Source organism: Homo sapiens, chromosome 22, assembly GCF_000001405.40.
Source record: "Homo sapiens chromosome 22, GRCh38.p14 Primary Assembly".
Lineage (NCBI taxonomy): Eukaryota > Metazoa > Chordata > Mammalia > Primates > Hominidae > Homo > Homo sapiens.
This window is the reverse complement of record NC_000022.11, coordinates 50,153,715-50,170,238: the sequence shown is the minus strand read 5'-3', so window position 1 is coordinate 50,170,238 and position 16,524 is coordinate 50,153,715. Positions and strand designations below refer to the sequence as shown.

Below are 16,524 nucleotides of genomic sequence, written 5' to 3'. Positions count from 1 at the left end.
TTACCTGCGGCGACTCCGCGGCGTGGCTCCGCCCCACCCCGCCCCCCGCCACGCAGATGCGGCGCGGGCGATGACTTTGCAGAAAATATTGAAATGAAATGAAAGGACATGAATGAGTAATGACCGGTCCCTCTTCCTGGGAACGCGGGGTGGCTGGCGGGGGGCTGCCCCGGCCCGCGGGAGGGTGGGCAGGGGTGGGGGCGGCCCTGCGGGGCTCCGGGCTGGGGCGGGGGCGCCGCTCGGTGGCGACGTGAGGACTGGGCGCGCGCTGGGGCTGCCCCCGTCGCATCGCAGGGCCCTTCGCCCAGCCCAGGGCGCAGAGGGGGCTTCCTCGCCTGGGCCCCCCACCTGCCCCGGCCGCGCCCCGCTGTGGGTCCGGAGGTTCCCGCGCTCCTGGGGTGCTGCGGCCACTGGCGGGGAAGCCGGCGCTCTCTTCTCTGGGCTCGGGCGCCAGTGCGCGGGCAATGAGGGCATCTCCCCGCCCCACACCCTCCACTGCAGCCCCGGCCCCACCCGACCCCCCCACCCAGTACCCCCAGTCCCGCCGCCGTGAGTGACCCCATCACCCCCGCTCCTGCAGCCCGCACCTCCTTCCCCCACGCCCCATCCCGTCCCCTGTTCCACAGACGTTCCCGGGGCCTGTGCCAGCTCAGGGGGTCCCCGCCGCCTCCCTGACCTTCATTCCCTCCGCTCCCCACAGCCCCGCCCTCCGTCCTGTTCTCCCTCGGGGAGCCGGGGGTCTGGCTTCAGACGCGGGCGCATCCCGCGTGGTCCCTGCCTCTTCGAGGCAGCCGTTTTCCCTCGTGCAGGTCCCCTTCCCACTATACCAGGACGAACGTGCACGATCTTTCATATAAAAGATTTAGTGTGATTGGAGTTTTAAGTTCATTCAATAATTCATTCCAAAAATGTATTTTGAGCCCGTGTTCACAGGCCCGGCCACTGCTGTGAGCAAACCAGGAGGTCCCCCTGCCTCCCTGGGCTGCGTAGGGGATGTGTCTGCTTTGAGCTTTCACGCCGTCTGCGTTTTTAAAGATCCTTGCATGTTTTCTGAGGGATGCCAGCCCCTGACTTCCAGCAAACTTCATCCTGAGGCAGGCAGTTCAGCTACATCCAATCCCAGCACCCAACCACCCAGTCACCCCAGATAAACCCAGTCACCCCAAATAACCCAGGCACCTCCAGATAAATCAGCCCTGGCAGATAACCCAGTCACCCTGACAACCCAGGCACCCCAGATAAACCAACTCACCCCCCGATAACAGTCACCCCTACCAGATAACCCAGTCACTGCCAGATAAACCAGTCACCTCCCAAATAACCCAGTCACCTCTCACATAACCTATTCACCCCAGATAACCCAGTCACTGCCAGATAAACCAATCACCCCAAATAACCCAGGCACCCCTCACATAATCTATTCACCCCAGATAACCCAGTCACTGCCAGATAAACCAGTCACCTCCCAAATAACCCGGGCACCCCTCACATAACCTATTCACCCCAGATAACCCAGTCACTGCCAGATAAACCAATCACCCCAAATAACCCGGGCACCCCTCACATAATCTATTCACCCCAGATAACCCAGTCACTGCCAGATAAACCAGTCACCTCCCAAATAACCCGGTCACCTCTCACATAACCTATTCACCCGATAACTCAGTCACTGCCAGATAAACCAGTCACCTCCCAAATAACCCAGTCACCTCTCACATAACCTATTCACCCCAGATAACCCAGTCACTGCCAGATAAACCAGTCACCTCCCAAATAACCCAGTCACCTCTCACATAACCTATTCAACCCAGATAACCCAGTCACTGCCAGATAAACCAGTCACCTCCCAAATAACCCAGTCACCTCTCACATAACCTTTCACCCCAGATAACCCAGTCACTGCCAGATAAACAATCACCCCAAATAACCCGGGCACCCCTCACATAACCTATTCACCCCAGATAACCCAGTCACTGCCAGATAAACCAATCACCCCAAATAACCCGGGCACCCCTCACATAACCTATTCACCCCAGATAACCCAGTCACTGCCAGATAAACCAGTCACCCCAAATAACCCAGTCACCTCTCACATAACCTATTCACCCGATAACTCAGTCACCCCCAGATAACTCAGTCATCCCAGATAAAATCATCATCCCCAAATAACCAAGTCACCCTTCAGGTAACCAGATAAACCAGTCATCTCCTAGATAACCGAGGCACCCCTCAGATAACCCATCCCGTATAACCCAGTCACCCCCAGATAACCATCACCCCAGAGAACCCAGCCACCCCTCACATAACCAAGTCACCCCCCCTCCCCGACAACTCAGTCACTCCCAGATAACCCAGTGCAGTGAGTTCCAGCCCCTCCGAGCGACCCGAGTGTGGCTGCTGGGTGGCTGCCTTTGTTTTCCAGATGCACTTTCTGCTTTCGCATGGGTGCCTCTCCATGCTTTCCAGAAGTGCTCGGCCAGTCCATGCTCTCACCATCCCTGTCTTCTTTCCAGCTCTCAGCCCTATCCACCTTCTAGTATCTGCCATTCTCGGGGGGAAGGGGGGGCGGGTGTAGCTTCCAGGTGCTTTGAGTTTATCTCTAGCGGTTTGTGTGCACGCTCTCTTCAAACCCTGAGCACTGCATCACTGGTCAGAGCTCACTGTAACCCTGAACTCCTGGGCTCAAGCAATCCCCCCACCTTGACCCCCCAAGTAGCTGGCATTATAGATGCACGCCACCATGCCCAGCTTTTTAAAATTGTTACTATTATTATTATTTTTTTGAGACAGAGTCTTGCTCTGTTGCCCAGGCTGGAGTGCAGTGGCGCGATCTCGGCTCACTGCAAGCTCCACCCCCCGGGTTCACACAATTCTCCTGCCTCAGCCTCCCAAGTAGCTGGGACTACAGGCACCTGCCACCACGCCCAGCTAATTTTTTGTATTTTGTTTTTAGTAGAGACGGGGTTTCACCGTGTTAGCCAGGATGGTCTCGATCTCCTGACCTCATGATCTGCCCACCTCAGCCTCCCAAAGTGCTGGGATTACAGGCATGAGCCACCACACCCAGCAATTTTTACTATTATCTTTTGAGACAAGGTCTCACTCTGTTGCCCAACCTGGAGTGCAGCGGTGGGATCTTGGCTTACTGCATCCTCCATCTCCTGGGCTCAAGGGATCCTCCCACCTCAGCCTCCTGAGTAGCTGGGACTGCAGACATGCACCACCACACCTGGCTAATTTTTTTGAGAGATGGGGTTTCGCCATGTTGCCTAGGTTGGTCTCGAATTCCTGGGCTCAAGTGATCCTCCTGCCTCAGCCTCCCAAAGTGTTGGGATTACAGGCATAAGCCACTGCACCTGGCCTTAAAATTTTTTTATCTGTAGAAACGGGGTCTCACTATATTGCCCAGGATGGTCTCAAACTCCTGATCCCCCCACCCCCACCCAACCCAGCCTTGGCCTCCCACAGTGCTGGGATTGCAGGCATGGGATTACAGGTGTGAGCCACGCTGGGACTGCAGGCATGAGCCATGCTGGGATTGCAGGCGTGAGCCACGCTGGGATTGCAGGCGTGAGCCACGCTGGGATTGCAGGCGTGAGCCACGCTGGGATTGCAGGTGTGAGCCACGCTGGGATTGCAGGCTTGAGCCACGCTGGGATTGGAGACGTGGGCCACGCTGGGATTGGAGACGTGGGCCACGCTGGGATTGGAGACGTGGGCCACGCTGGGACTGGAGACGTGGGCCACGCTGGGATTGCAGGCTTGAGCCACGCTGGGACTGGAGATGTGGGCCACGCTGGGACTGCAGGCGTGGGCCACGCTGGGACTGCAGGCGTGGGCCACGCTGGGACTGCAGGCGTGAGCCACGCTGGGATTGCAGGCGTGGGCCACGCTGGGATTGCAGGCTTGAGCCACGCTGGGATTGCAGGCTTGAGCCACGCTGGGATCGGAGACGTGGGCCACGCTGGGATTGGAGATGTGGGCCACGCTGGGATTGCAGGCTTGAGCCACGCTGGGATTGGAGACGTGGGCCACGCTGGGATTGCAGGCTTGAGCCACGCTGGGATTGCAGGCGTGGGCCACGCTGGGATTGCAGGCTTGAGCCACGCTGGGATTGGAGACGTGGGCCACGCTGGGATTGCAGGCTTGAGCCACGCTGGGATTGGAGACGTGGGCCACGCTGGGATTGCAGGCTTGAGCCACGCTGGGATTGCAGGCGTGAGCCACGCTGGGATTGCAGGCGTGGGCCACGCTGGGATTGCAGGCTTGAGCCACGCTGGGATTGGAGACGTGGGCCATGCTGGGATTGCAGGAGCCATGCTGGGATTGCAGGCGTGGGCCACGCTGGGATTGCAGGCTTGGGCCACGCTGGGACTGGAGACGTGGACCATGCTGGGATTGCAGGCGTGAGCCACGCTGGGACTGCAGGCTTGGGCCACTGCACCTACTGCATTTGTTTTGCATGTTACGCCCCTGCCTGGGGCAGCATCTGGGCCACAGCACCTTTTCAGTGAACAACGATGGTTATGAGTGGGTGTGATCTTGCCTGCCTGTTGAGCACCACTGGCCAGTCACTGTCTCGCAGAGGAAGCGGTGGGAGCTTGACAAGAAGAACGCCTGTGGCAGAGCCAGGGCCTGGACTCAAAACTCGGCAACTTGGCTGCCATCCTCATTCCCGGTGAGTGGAACGGTGAGCAAAGGTCCATGATGACACCCTGGCCGCCCAGCCTGTTACCCTCCTCAGGAGGATGTGTGGCAGGAGTGAAGGGTCCACCCCTGCGGTCTTCACACTCCAGTGGCCCAGACTGGAGGACAGTCTTCCCAAATCCCGTATTATGGGAGCAGCTGCTTCTTTCTCTTGGTGATACATTAACATGAGATTTCAACACATGGAAGGATCTTGAAGACGATGCGTGCTGTGCAAAGCTTGTATTCCCATCTCTCTCTTTAAGCGAACAAGCTTTCTGAGCTTCTATATCCATGAAGATGAAAAACAGGAAAAAAAACTGACAACCTGTCTCATTTCCGCCCTAAGTAATATCTTCCCATGATGACATTAACTATTTGCAAATAAGCCCCATACGGATAATAATGCATTTCTGGCCAGGTGTGGTGGCTCACGCCTATAATCCCAGCACTTTGGGAGGCTGAGGTGGGCAGATCACTTGAGGTCAGGAGTTCAAGACCAGCCTGGCCAACATGATGAAACCACGTCTCGACTAAAAATACAAAAATTAGCCAGGCATGGTGGCATATGCCTGTAATCCCAGCTACTCAGGAGGCTGAGGCAGGGGAATCGCTTGAATCCAGGAGGCGGAGGTTGCAGTGAGCCAAGATTGCACCACTGCCCTCCAGCCTGGGCGACAGAATGAAACTCCATCTCAAAAAAAAAAAAGCATTTCTAGCTCAATTTTATTTTTGTTTATTATGAAAATTGGAAATGTATGCGTATCATTTTGATTGGGTATTTATAATAATCGTAAGAATAACAATCGGCCAGATTGTTCCCATGTTAAGCCTCAGTGCTTGTATTTTGTCAGGGTGCGCTGAGACTGGTGTTTGGTAGGGACAGGCCAGACCATGCCACAGTAATAGACGTCAACAACAGCCCAGGTTGTTTGGCCCCACACACTGCTCACAGGGAGACTGGGGGCTCTGTCCCGCCATCCTCAGCCTGACACGTGGCGGCCCTCGCCCCCGGTGTCCGGTGGGGAGTGGGGGGTGAGCTGCCCTCTGCCTTCAGAGCCTTCGCATCAGCGATGTCACTGGCTTTACACACCTGTGGTGGTGAGGGAGGTGGGGGTGAAATCCCGTTCTGTGCCCAGGAGAGGAACAGAAAATATTTGTGATGCCCACACCTTTCAAACCTAACACATTTTGCATTAGGATACAAATATGGGGGGGAGTGGAATAGAAATATGAGTTCAAGGAAAAGAAGAAATAAACTTTCTAGCTGTGAAAGAACAGCTTGCTGGTGTCCTCTAAGTGGATGATGGTATCAAACTGTAATGGCATTTTTTGTTGCACTGGATACACTGAAAAGGAAAATGGCAAGATTTGGGCCGGGCGTGGTGGCTCATGCCTGTAACCCCAGCACTTTGGGAGGCCGAGGCAGGTGGATCACCAGGTCAGGAGATGGAGACCATCCTGGCTAACACGGTGAAACCCCGTCTCTACTAAAAATACAAAAAATTAGCCGGGCGTTGTGGCAGGCGCCTGTAGTCCCAGCTACTCGGGAGGCTGAGGCAGGAGAATGGTGTGAACCCGGGAGGTGGAGCTTGCAGTGAGCCGAGATCGCACCACTGCACTCCAGCCTGGGCGACAGAGCAAGACTCTGTCTCAAAAAAAAAAAAAATAAATAAAAAAAAAAATAAAATAAAATAAAAATAAATGAAATGGCAAGATTTATAATAAGCTGTGACTTACATCATAAGCACGTTTAAAATGTGAAGAAGAAAAATCTTAGATAACCAAAAAAACGAGGGAAGAGATGCACTCCCTTAAGGTTTCATTTAGGGGACTCCAAGCACCAAAGTTTAAGACCTCTGTGTAGCAGCCTGGCCAACATAGCAAGACCGTCTCTACAAATAATAATAAACAAATTAGCCAGCTGTGGTGGCACACGCCTGTGATCTCAACTACTTGGGAGGTTGAGGTGGGTGGAACACTTGAGCCCAGGAAATCGAGACCAACCTGGGCAACATGGCGAAACCCTGTCTCTACAGAAAATTAGCCAGGTGTGATGGCGTACACCTGTAGTGTCAGCTATTTGGGAGGCTGAGGTGGGAGGATCACCTGAGGCTGGGAGGTTGAGGACGCAGTGAGCCATGATTGTGCCACTGCACTCCAGCCTGGGCAACAGAGCAAGACCCTGTCTTAAAAAAAGCCCCAAATCCTGTGCAGACGACACCTGCCTGCAGGCCCCACTTGCCTTTGCTTCCCTTGCCTTGCTTTGCAGGGATTCATGGCTGGCTGAGCAGTGCTGCCTTCCCTGTAGCCTGGGCCCCTCCAGGGCAGCCTCCTCACTGACCTCCTTCTCTTCCCCTCCCTCCCTGTCACCTGACAGCCTCCCTGCCACTCTTGCACCAGCAAACAGGTGCCCCGAGTCCTTTATAGAATGACCCCGCCTGGTCTCCTGCCACCCTGGGCACACGCCAGATCATTGCTGAGGTGTCCCCCAGCTGAGGACACCTGCCCAGCCTCAACACTGGCTCCCCACGTCTCTGCCCAAGAGCACTCCCTCAAGTGTGGACCCCACACCTGCTTCTTGCGTCTCTCCCACCTGCCAGGACATCCAGGTCACTGAGCCCAGAGAGGTGGCCTCTCAGTGTCAGGGCTGACCCCAATGATCCCCTCACCTGGGTCAGAAAAGTCCCCAGCCTCCGTGGGGGGCATCCCTTCGATTTGGGGTTGACAGGATGGAGAGGTCCTTGCCCTAGGACTTCTGCTCTGCAGAGAGAGTCCAGCAAACGCTGGCTGCAGGAGCACTGGGCACAGCGGCCTCCACGCATGGGGGCTCTGCCTGGGCCTCCACGCACCCCTTAGCACAGCAATGACAGCTCTGCCTGGAGAAACCCTTCAGTTCCTAAACACAACTCATGCAGAAGCCACAGCAGGTGATGCCGCATGCAGTCCTGGGCCCTGACATGACGCCGCCTGTCTGGAAAGTGCTTCCTCCTACATCAAGTACTCCCTGGAGTTGTGACCACAGATCTTAGCATCACCCACAAGTTTAGTAAACAGACATGATCCCTGGTGTCTTGAGACCTTCAGGAGACAGTGGTTTCTGCTTGCCAAGCAGACGCTACCTCTAAGTGGAGACACTGAGCATTTGTTTCCTGGGAGCAAGTCGTGGGGGAGGGGGTGGGGGAGGGTGCAGGGCAAGGCTCCCAAACTTTGAGGTGGGCCAAGCCTGCACCCTTCTAGTCGGCTGCTGGTCTGTGTCTCGCTGTGGGGATGGGGGCATAGGCCAGGTAAGACCCCCCGTAAAGCGGTGTTGGCCTCCTCTGGGGCCCTGGGTGTATGCAGGCGGCATCTCCGAGCCTGGGGGTCCTGTGTTCCAGCCGGGCTGCTGTACTGAGACCCTGCACCAGGCTGAGGACAGTGCGGGGCTCACCCCAAGTGTTCTTCCTGCCACTGCTCTGCTCCTCCTGGCCTGAGGTGCGTTGCCCATCTCCACGTGTTTTATTTCTGGCCCAGAGATGTGTTCTAAGGACCCCTAAACTCAGTACCCCTAGGGTGCAGGCCTGCACCCAGGAACCCGCCCAGCTGCAAACTCCCAGAAGCACTGGGCCTAGGGCAGGCCTGAGTGCCACCCTCACAACCCTGGCCCCATGTAGAGCCTCAGGCCCTGTGGGCTCTGCATGCCTGGTCCATGGCCCTGGCGCTCTGCTGAGTGGAGCTGGCAGCCTTGCCTGGAGCCTGACACACGGCTAGTTCAGGTGAAGTGGACAGCAAGCCATCTCCAAAAACTGCGCCAGCAGGGCTGAGAGGCCACATGAAACCCTGGTCACCACTGACACGGGCACACATCTCGAGGTGGAAAGGCTTCTGGGGGTCACTCGAGGGTTTATTTCAGGGTAGGCGGCAGTGACTGCCCTGTGGCAGGAACAGGCTGGCATATGCCAAAGTCAGGGCAGCAGCAGCTGCGTCCAACCTGGCAGCCCCACACCCACACACGACCCTGCCTGGCTGCGAGACAAGGGCAGGCCACAGGAGCCACGGAGCAGACTGTAACGGCAACGTGGCCAGGCTGAGCACATGGCCTCCCTGCTGTCAGCCACTGCAGATCAGCTGGGCTCCTGATGCTTCTCTGGTCCTGTGGATTCTGGCACCACTGGGTAGGAGGGGTCTGCCACCCCCTCGCCACAGCTGTAGACAGAGGAGAAGCGGATGGCCAGTGAGCCAGGCTCCCACAGCGGGCTGGGAGCTGCACTCTTTTCCCAATGTGGGTTTTACAAGGGGACTTAGTTTACCCTGTTAGCCTATGTGGGAAAGGTGACATGACCCCAAATGTCCAGGAAACAGTGGCTGCTGCAGCCCAGGATGAGGTGAGGACGGTGGCCGGCAGAGGGCTAAGGCTGCAGGTGGGTAAGTGGATGGGGGTGAGGGGAGCAGGGGAGGGCAGGCTAGAGCACGTTCTAGAGCCAGCCTGTCTTTGAGGAAGACAGCAGAAGCGCTCACTTTTGCAGAGACTGCAGTGCAGGAGGTAAATCGCATCCCATGTAAACACCGTTTGTAATACTGTATTCCAGCAAAGCACCAAAACAGGGGTCCTGTTGGCAATAACAATTAGCCTGGTGTGAGAGCAAGTGAAGGCCCCATGTCTCCTGGTGCCTCGTACGTCTCACCCCGAGTGACCCGGACCCTCCCTCCTTAAGTGATCACAGCCCACCCAGTGCCTGAAAACTCACTCGAACGAGAACATGGGGGTTTCCCAGCACTATCAGCAAAGCTTTGGGTCTGGTGATTGCAACATTAAATCTTTTTGAGTTGGACAAGAAACCCAAAAAATATCGATCATCTTCAAATCTATCTTCATTTGACCGTACCTAAAAGCACACAGAGATGAATAAAAATGGCACTTGAAGTTTTTGGGGGGCATGAAGAGAAACTCTTGATATATAAAAACATTTAAAAATGTTAAATAGCAGAATGACCTCATTTTTGGTTCAAAAAGAAACAGGAGGCCGGGCGCGGTGGCTCACGCCTGTAATCCCAGCCTTTGGGAGGCCGAGGCGGGAGGATCACGAGGTCAGGAGATCGAGACCATCTTGGCTAACATGGTGAAACCCCGTCTCTACTAAAAATACAAAAAAAAAAAAATTAGCTGGGCGTGGTGGTGGGCGCCTGTAGTCCCAGCTACTCGAGAGGCTGAGGCAGGAGAATGGCGTGAACCCGGGAGGCAGAGCTTGCAGTGAGCCGAGATCGCGCCACTGCACTCCAGCCTGGGCGACAGAGCGACGCCATCTCAAAAAAAAAAAAAGAAAGAAAAAAAGAAACAGGAGGTGGGGGGAGGGGGAGAAGGGGGAGGAGGAAGGGCAGCAGAAAGGGGTGGGTCTCATCGGCACTCCATCTGCAGACAGGGAGCCCTCACGCTTGCGGCTGTCTGGATGGCGGGGTCTTAGGGGCTCTCCTGCGGGTACCTGCCCTCCCACTCTCTGCTCCTCAGCTGCCTGTTCTTCCAACTTCGTGTCCCTCCTTCTCCAAGGCATTCACCATGTCTTCCTGGGTCCCTTCTCTTTACTCTCCTGTGTCTTAGTCTTTGAGTATTGTTTTAAAAGACCTTCCCACAGCCACTGCTTACAATGGCTCCTGGACCTAGGGAGTCTCCGCCTGCAGCTGCTTCTCTGGGCTGGGAATCAGCCTCTGCCCCTTTAGATCTGAAGCCCCCAGAACCCCCAGGGCAGCAAGCACCTGACTGTCCATCCCCACGGAGAACAGGGATACCTACGGTCGAAATGATGATGACCAGATACTCTTGTCCTTGAAACTCCTCTACTGATCCAACCTTTATATCCATCAGATCAACATTACGCAAAAGAATTCTGATTTTCTCCACCTTGAGAACAGATTAAAAGAAAGACTAAAGATAACACTGTACAAATCCATTTCTTTTCTTTTCCTTTTTTTTTTTTGAGATGGAGTATTACTCTGTCACCCAGGCTGCAGTGCAGTGGCGTGATCTCGGCTCACTGCAACCTCTGCCTCCCGGGTTCAAGCAATTCTCCTGCCTCAGCCTCCTGAGCAGCTGGGATTATGGGTGCATGCCACCACACCCGGGTAATTTTTTGTATTTTTTAGTAGAGAGAGGGTTTCACCATATTGGCCAGGCTGGTCTTGAACTCCTGACCTTGTGATCCGCCTACCTCGGCCTCCCAAAGTGCTGGGATTACAGGCGTGAGCCACCACGCCCGACATGTACAAATCCATCTCTTTACACATCACAGCATAAACCAAATATTGGCCAAGGTGCAATATTGTTTTTTAATTCTTTATTGCTTTCTTCTAATCTGAATTGATTAGAACACAAATTGCAGTTTTAGTTAAACTGGGGACGGGGGACAATGCTTACTAGGAAAGCCAAGTTTCATGTGGAAAATCCTCCCTCCCCACAAGCACATATCAAGGATGGAGGAAATCCTTCAGGAGAAACGAGATGCATGTCTGATGCTTAGAGCTGAGGATGGCAGCTCTAAGCTGGATGTCTCAGCAGGATGGCACCTACAAGCTGAGGTTAAGACACCAGGACACTGGCTGTGTGATGTCTGGCAACTTACTTGTCTCCATAAGCCTTCGTAATCTCTGTACCTCTGGGAGAACTAAGCACTCACCTCTCGAGTCCCCGAGGTCAGAAAAAAGGAAACATAACATCTTTGACGGGCTCTGCGGTCAGCACACGCGCGGTACAGGTGATCTGTTACTGTGATGGCCTAGGGGACTCACCTTTTCTTCTGTATTTTGGGGGTTCTTTCCAAGTTCTGCTTGGTGGTGTGAACACCACAGGGACACATGCTTCATGAATGAAACCTGGTGTTCGGCATGGGAGGCACCTGTGTCCCCACCAGAGCTCCAGAGCCACTGTGAACGTGTGGAGATGCTTCCTGGGACCAGCCCCTGGGGCCTGGGGACGCTAACTCTCCTATAATCACATCACAGAGTCATACGAAATGAGAAGCGTCCCATTCAAATATACCCAAAGTGCCCCCTTTGAGAAACACTGGGTTAGAGCTGGGGGTTGGCAAATGTTTTCCCAAAGGGCCAAATATCAAGGGACATATAAATGTAACCATTTAGAAATGTAAAAACTGTTCGAGGCTCTGGCCGTAGAAAAGCTGGCAGCTGCCCGGAACTGGCCCATGGATGGCAGTTGGGTGACCTCTCATGTTGAACGACATTCAAGTGCGGTCCTGCCCCTTTAAAAACCTGCTGCTGCTCACAAGGAGCTTGTTCCTGCCTCTGTGGAGCTGCAGGAGCCAAGGAGCAGGGCTGCAGGGACCTCACAGAACCAGGCGTGCCTGGGCAGGGCGTACCTGCTTCCGGTAGGGCGTGATGACGCCAATGTCGCTGGCAGACACCTGACTGGAGATGCTGTGGGCCAGGAGGCAGCAGTAGCGCAGGACCTGGACGGCCTCGGCCGGGTTGAACCACGATGGGCTTTTTCCCTCCCGTGCCTCGCTGCCCTGGGTTGATGAGGAGAGAAAACCTACTTTACTTCATGAATATTCACCAGAAGGCTACAATCCAGGAGCTGAAGTCGGTGCTGGGAATACACACTGAATATGACAGAATAAATCCCTGCTCTCGTGCAGAACTTACATGTGAGCAGGGCAGATGGCATATGTTAAATGATGAAATGGCTCACAGTCATGCTAAACGCTACAGAGGAGGACGGGTCACAGGAGTCCGCCACTCAGGTCTGAGCCCCGGAGTGGAGGGCTGGCTGGTATTTCTGATCTTTTTTTTTTTTTTTTTTTTGATATTAGACCTTTGATATAGCTACTTCTCATCTTGAAAATACTCTTCCTTAGAAAACATTAATGAGATATACTGACATAAAAGACAGACATATAGATCAACAGGGTAGAACGGAGAACTTAGAAATAAACCCTCGAATATACGGCCAGATGACTTCTGACAAGGGTGCCAGGACAGTTTTTCAACCAACGCTGCTGGAAAAACTAGAGAGCCACACGGAAAGGATGAAGACGGACCCTCACCTGACACCACCTGGAAACAGAAACTCAAGGTGGATCGAAGATTTAAACCCAAGACCTAAATCCATAAAATTCTTGGAGGAAAACAGGGAAAAAGCCCCACGACATTAGGTTTGGCAATGACTTCTTGGATACGACACCAAAGCCACTGGCAATAACTAAAAGGGATATGCTGGACTACATCCAAATGGAAAATGTCTGGGCATCAACGGACGCAATCAACAACGTGAAAAGATAGTCTGCGGAGGGGGGAGAAAACCTTTGCAAATAGTATATAAGAAGTTAATATCCAAAACTACGAGGAAGTCTTAAATTCACTGACAAAAAGCGACCCAATTAAATATGGGCAAAGGACCTGAATTCTCCAAAGGAGACATACAAATGGCCAACAGGTACATGAAAAGCTGCTCAATGTCACAAATCATTAGGGAAATGCAAATCAAAACTACAGTGAGCTACACCTCACTCCCACTAAGATGGCTACTATAAAACAACCCAGAAAATAAGTGGTGGTGAGGATGTGGGGAAACTGGAACCCTGCGGCACTGTTGGTGGGGTGTGGAATGCTGCAGTTACTGTGGAAAGCAAGATGATGGTTTCTCAAAAAATTAAGACTAGAATTACCAACAATTCCACTTCCGGGTATGTACCCATGACGACTGAAAGCAGGGTCTCAAATAGATATCTGTACACCCGTTGTAGCAGCACTACTTACAATAGTCAAATGTCTGCAGCCCAAGTGTCCACTGATAGATGAACTGATACGCCAAGTATGGTGTATACACACAATACAATGCTACTCAGCCCCCAAAAGGGAGGAAATTCTGACACACACCACAACATGGATGAACCTTGAGGACATGATGCTCAGTGCAATAAGCCGGTCACAGAAGGACAAACACTCCATGATTAATTCCACTTGTATGAAGTACCTAGAACACCTGAATTCATACAGTCAGAAAGTAGAATGGTGGCTGCTAGGCACTGCAGGGAAGAAAGTTACTGTTTCATGGGTATAGAATTTTAATACTGCAAGATAAAAGTTCTGGAGACTGCAAAACAATGTGAATATACTTAACACTATTAAACTTTACACTTAAAAATGGAGTCCAGGCGTGGTGGCTCACGCCTGTAATCCCAGCACTTTGGGAGGCCGAGGTGGGCAGATCACTTGAGGTCAAGAGTTCGAGACCAGCCTGGCCAACATGGTGAAACCCCGTCTCTACTAAAAATACAAAAATTAGCTGGGCGTGGTGGGGCATGCCTGTAGTCCCAGCTGCTTGGGAGGCTGAGGCATAAGAACTGCTTGAACATGGGAGGCGGAGGTTGCAGTGAGCCAAGATCATGCCACTGTACTCCAGCCTGGGTGACAGAGTGAGACAACTGTCTAAAAAAAAAAAAAAGTTTTTAACATGACAAATTTTATATTATGTGTACATTTATTTATGAATGAATGAATGAATGAATGAATGAGACAGGGTTTCACTCTGTCGCCCAGACTAAAGTGCCAGGGCATGATCACAGTTCACTGCAACCTCAACCTCTCCAGGCTCAGGTGATCCTCCCACCTCAGCCTCCTGAGTAGCTGGGACCACAAGTGTGCACCACCATGACCGGATAATTTTTGTATTTTTTGTAGAGACAGGGTCTTGCTATGTTGTCCTGGCCGTTCTTGAACTCCTGGGCTCAAGCAATCTGCCTGCCTTGGCCTCCCACATCCGGCCCTAGAATTTAAAAAAGTGACCACCAGGCGGGGTGCGGTGGCTCACGCCTGTAATCCCAGTACTTTGGGAGGCCAAGGCGGGCAGATCATGACGTCAGGAGTTCGAGACCAGCTGGGCCAACATGGTGAAACCCCGTCTCTACTAAAAATACAAAAATTAGCCGGACGTGGTGGCAGGCACCTGTGGTCCCAGATCCTTGGGAGTCTGAAGCATGAGAATTGCTTGAAACTGGGAGGCAGAAGTTGCAGTGAGCCAAGATTGCACCACTGCACTCCAGCCAGGGTGACAGAACAAAACCCTGTCTCAAAACAAAACAGATAAACAAAAACCCCAAAAAGTCACCACCAGATAAAGCAGTAAAAATACGAAAATTAGTTGGACGTGGTGGCAGGCGCCTGTAGTCCCAGCTACTTGGGAGGCTGAGGCACGAGAATCGCTTGAACCTGGAAGGCGGAGGTTGCAGTGAGCCGAGATGGCGCCACTGCACCCCAGCTGGGGTGAAAGAGCAAAACTCTGTCTCAAAAAAAAAAAAAAACCCACAAAACAACCCCCAAAAAAGTGACCACCAGATAAAGCAGTAAGAATTAATTTTGCTGTTGTTGTTAAACCATTAACTTACTCATTTATTGTAAATAATAAGTGACTGAAGAAACTTAAAAGATTAATGGGATGGAAACTTATAGCAGAAACTTCTAAACTGAGAAACAATTCAATGAATAGCAACCAATCAACTAGAAAAAATCAGGAAATAAAATGACTAAGAAAGATAAAGAAGAAATCATGTGAAATCACTATAGACTGGGCTGATTTATGTCACTAAAAGCAAACTGACTCCCAAAATGGATTAAATATAAAAACCTAGCTGCTCCTAAGAAATACAACAATAAAAAATGAAGAGGGCAAAGACATACCAGGTAAAAAGAAAAAAGTGGCAATGTTAATATTACGAGGTGGAATTTAAGACTAATACACATGACAGTATGGAAGGATATTACATAATGAGGAAGATAAAGCAGTGATAAATTATATGCATGAAACACAGCAGTTAAAATTCGTAAGACAAGAACGATCAGAAACCCAAGGATAATTTGATGAGGAGCACGACGAGAACGAGGGGCTTCATGACTCTTCTCCGCCATGGCCTACCAGGTGGACAGATCCTAGGCCAGGACACAGAGCTGCTGAGTGACAGCCTCCATGCATTTATTTATATTTATTTATATAGTTTTTAGAGTCAGGGTCTCACTCTGTCGCCTGGGCTGGGGTACAGTGGTGCAATCATAGCTCACTGCAGCCTCAATCTCCTGGGCTCAAGCAATCCTTCTGCCTCAGCCTCCCAAGTAGCCGGGACCAAAGGCACATGCCACCATGCTCAGCTAATTTAAAAAAAAAAAAATTTTTTTTTAAGAGATGGGAGTTTCACTATGTTGCCCAGGCTAATCTTGAACTCCTAGGCTCAAGCAATCCTCCTGCCTCAGCCTCCCAAAGTGCTGGGGTTACAGGTGAGCCCCTGTGCCTGGCCACTAATGTGTTTTCCTGATACCCAGGAAAGCTTCTGAGGATGGGCAGAGCTAGCAGGACAGATGGCGGGAGACCACTGCAGGGGAGGGACCTGCCTCAGAGTGCACCATGTCTGGAGGTGTCCAGCTCACTGCAGATTCTCCTTAGGACCCCTTCCTTTCCAAATGTGAGAACCTCACAGCCGCCATACACATATCCCATCCCACCACTTTGGACAGATCACAGACAGATTTTCTCCCTCAGGAACTTACGAAGAGCAACTGGGGGCCACTGCTGGGTAGGGCATGGAATGCAGAGGCCCCAAGGCAGCCAAATGGTGTAACCTGGACCCCTGTCCTCCGGGGCCCGTGGCATGGAAGGGGCACTGGCACCAGGGTTCCCCGTGTGGCCCGGGTGCAGCCCTCACTGCAGATACCTTGAATGCCCCTTCTTCTGGGGCAGGGGGTTAATGCAAAACTTGATTTCTGCTCTAACTAAACTCCTAATACAAACTATCTCATTTTAGCGAATGCTTGTAATTTTGCTTGGTCACTCAGCATCTAACTCTGTCCCTCTGCGAGGCC

The 16,524-nt window shown here is 52.6% G+C and overlaps 1 protein-coding gene across 16 annotated transcripts in view, besides 2 other annotated features; it reads right to left on the bottom strand.

Annotated features, from left to right (window-relative positions):
• Positions 275 to 334: a silencer, noted in NCBI's record as "silent region_13949". NCBI's record gives its function as "represses an Ori minimal core promoter by ATAC-STARR-seq in GM12878 lymphoblastoid cells {active_cell/tissue: GM12878}" and the evidence as "EXISTENCE:reporter gene assay evidence [ECO:0000049][PMID:35858748]".
• Positions 4,000 to 4,551: an enhancer, noted in NCBI's record as "H3K27ac-H3K4me1 hESC enhancer chr22:50604117-50604668 (GRCh37/hg19 assembly coordinates)". NCBI's record gives its function as "activates a minimal SCP1, AML or CMV promoter by ChIP-STARR-seq in naive H9 embryonic stem cells {active_cell/tissue: H9 hESC(naive)}" and the evidence as "EXISTENCE:reporter gene assay evidence [ECO:0000049][PMID:30033119]".
• MOV10L1 (Mov10 like RNA helicase 1) overlaps positions 8,552 to 16,524 on the bottom strand; it is a 71,682-nt gene continuing 63,709 nt past the window's right edge. For 8 of the 16 annotated variants that reach the window (XM_011530697.2, XM_011530696.2, XM_011530698.2 and 5 more), the window contains 6 exons: positions 12,033 to 12,182; positions 11,446 to 11,580; positions 10,454 to 10,561; positions 9,414 to 9,551; positions 9,184 to 9,275; positions 8,552 to 8,871 (listed from right to left, as the gene is read on the bottom strand). In XM_011530697.2, coding sequence (XP_011528999.1) covers positions 8,790 to 8,871; positions 9,184 to 9,275; positions 9,414 to 9,551; positions 10,454 to 10,561; positions 11,446 to 11,580; positions 12,033 to 12,182 — 705 coding nt within the window. In that variant the 3' untranslated portion in view covers positions 8,552 to 8,789. Of the gene's footprint in view, positions 8,872 to 9,183; positions 9,276 to 9,413; positions 9,552 to 10,453; positions 10,562 to 11,445; positions 11,642 to 12,032; positions 12,183 to 16,524 lie in introns of those variants that run through there. The other 8 variants (XM_005261923.5, NM_018995.3, NM_001164106.1 and 5 more) reach the window with 5 other exon arrangements.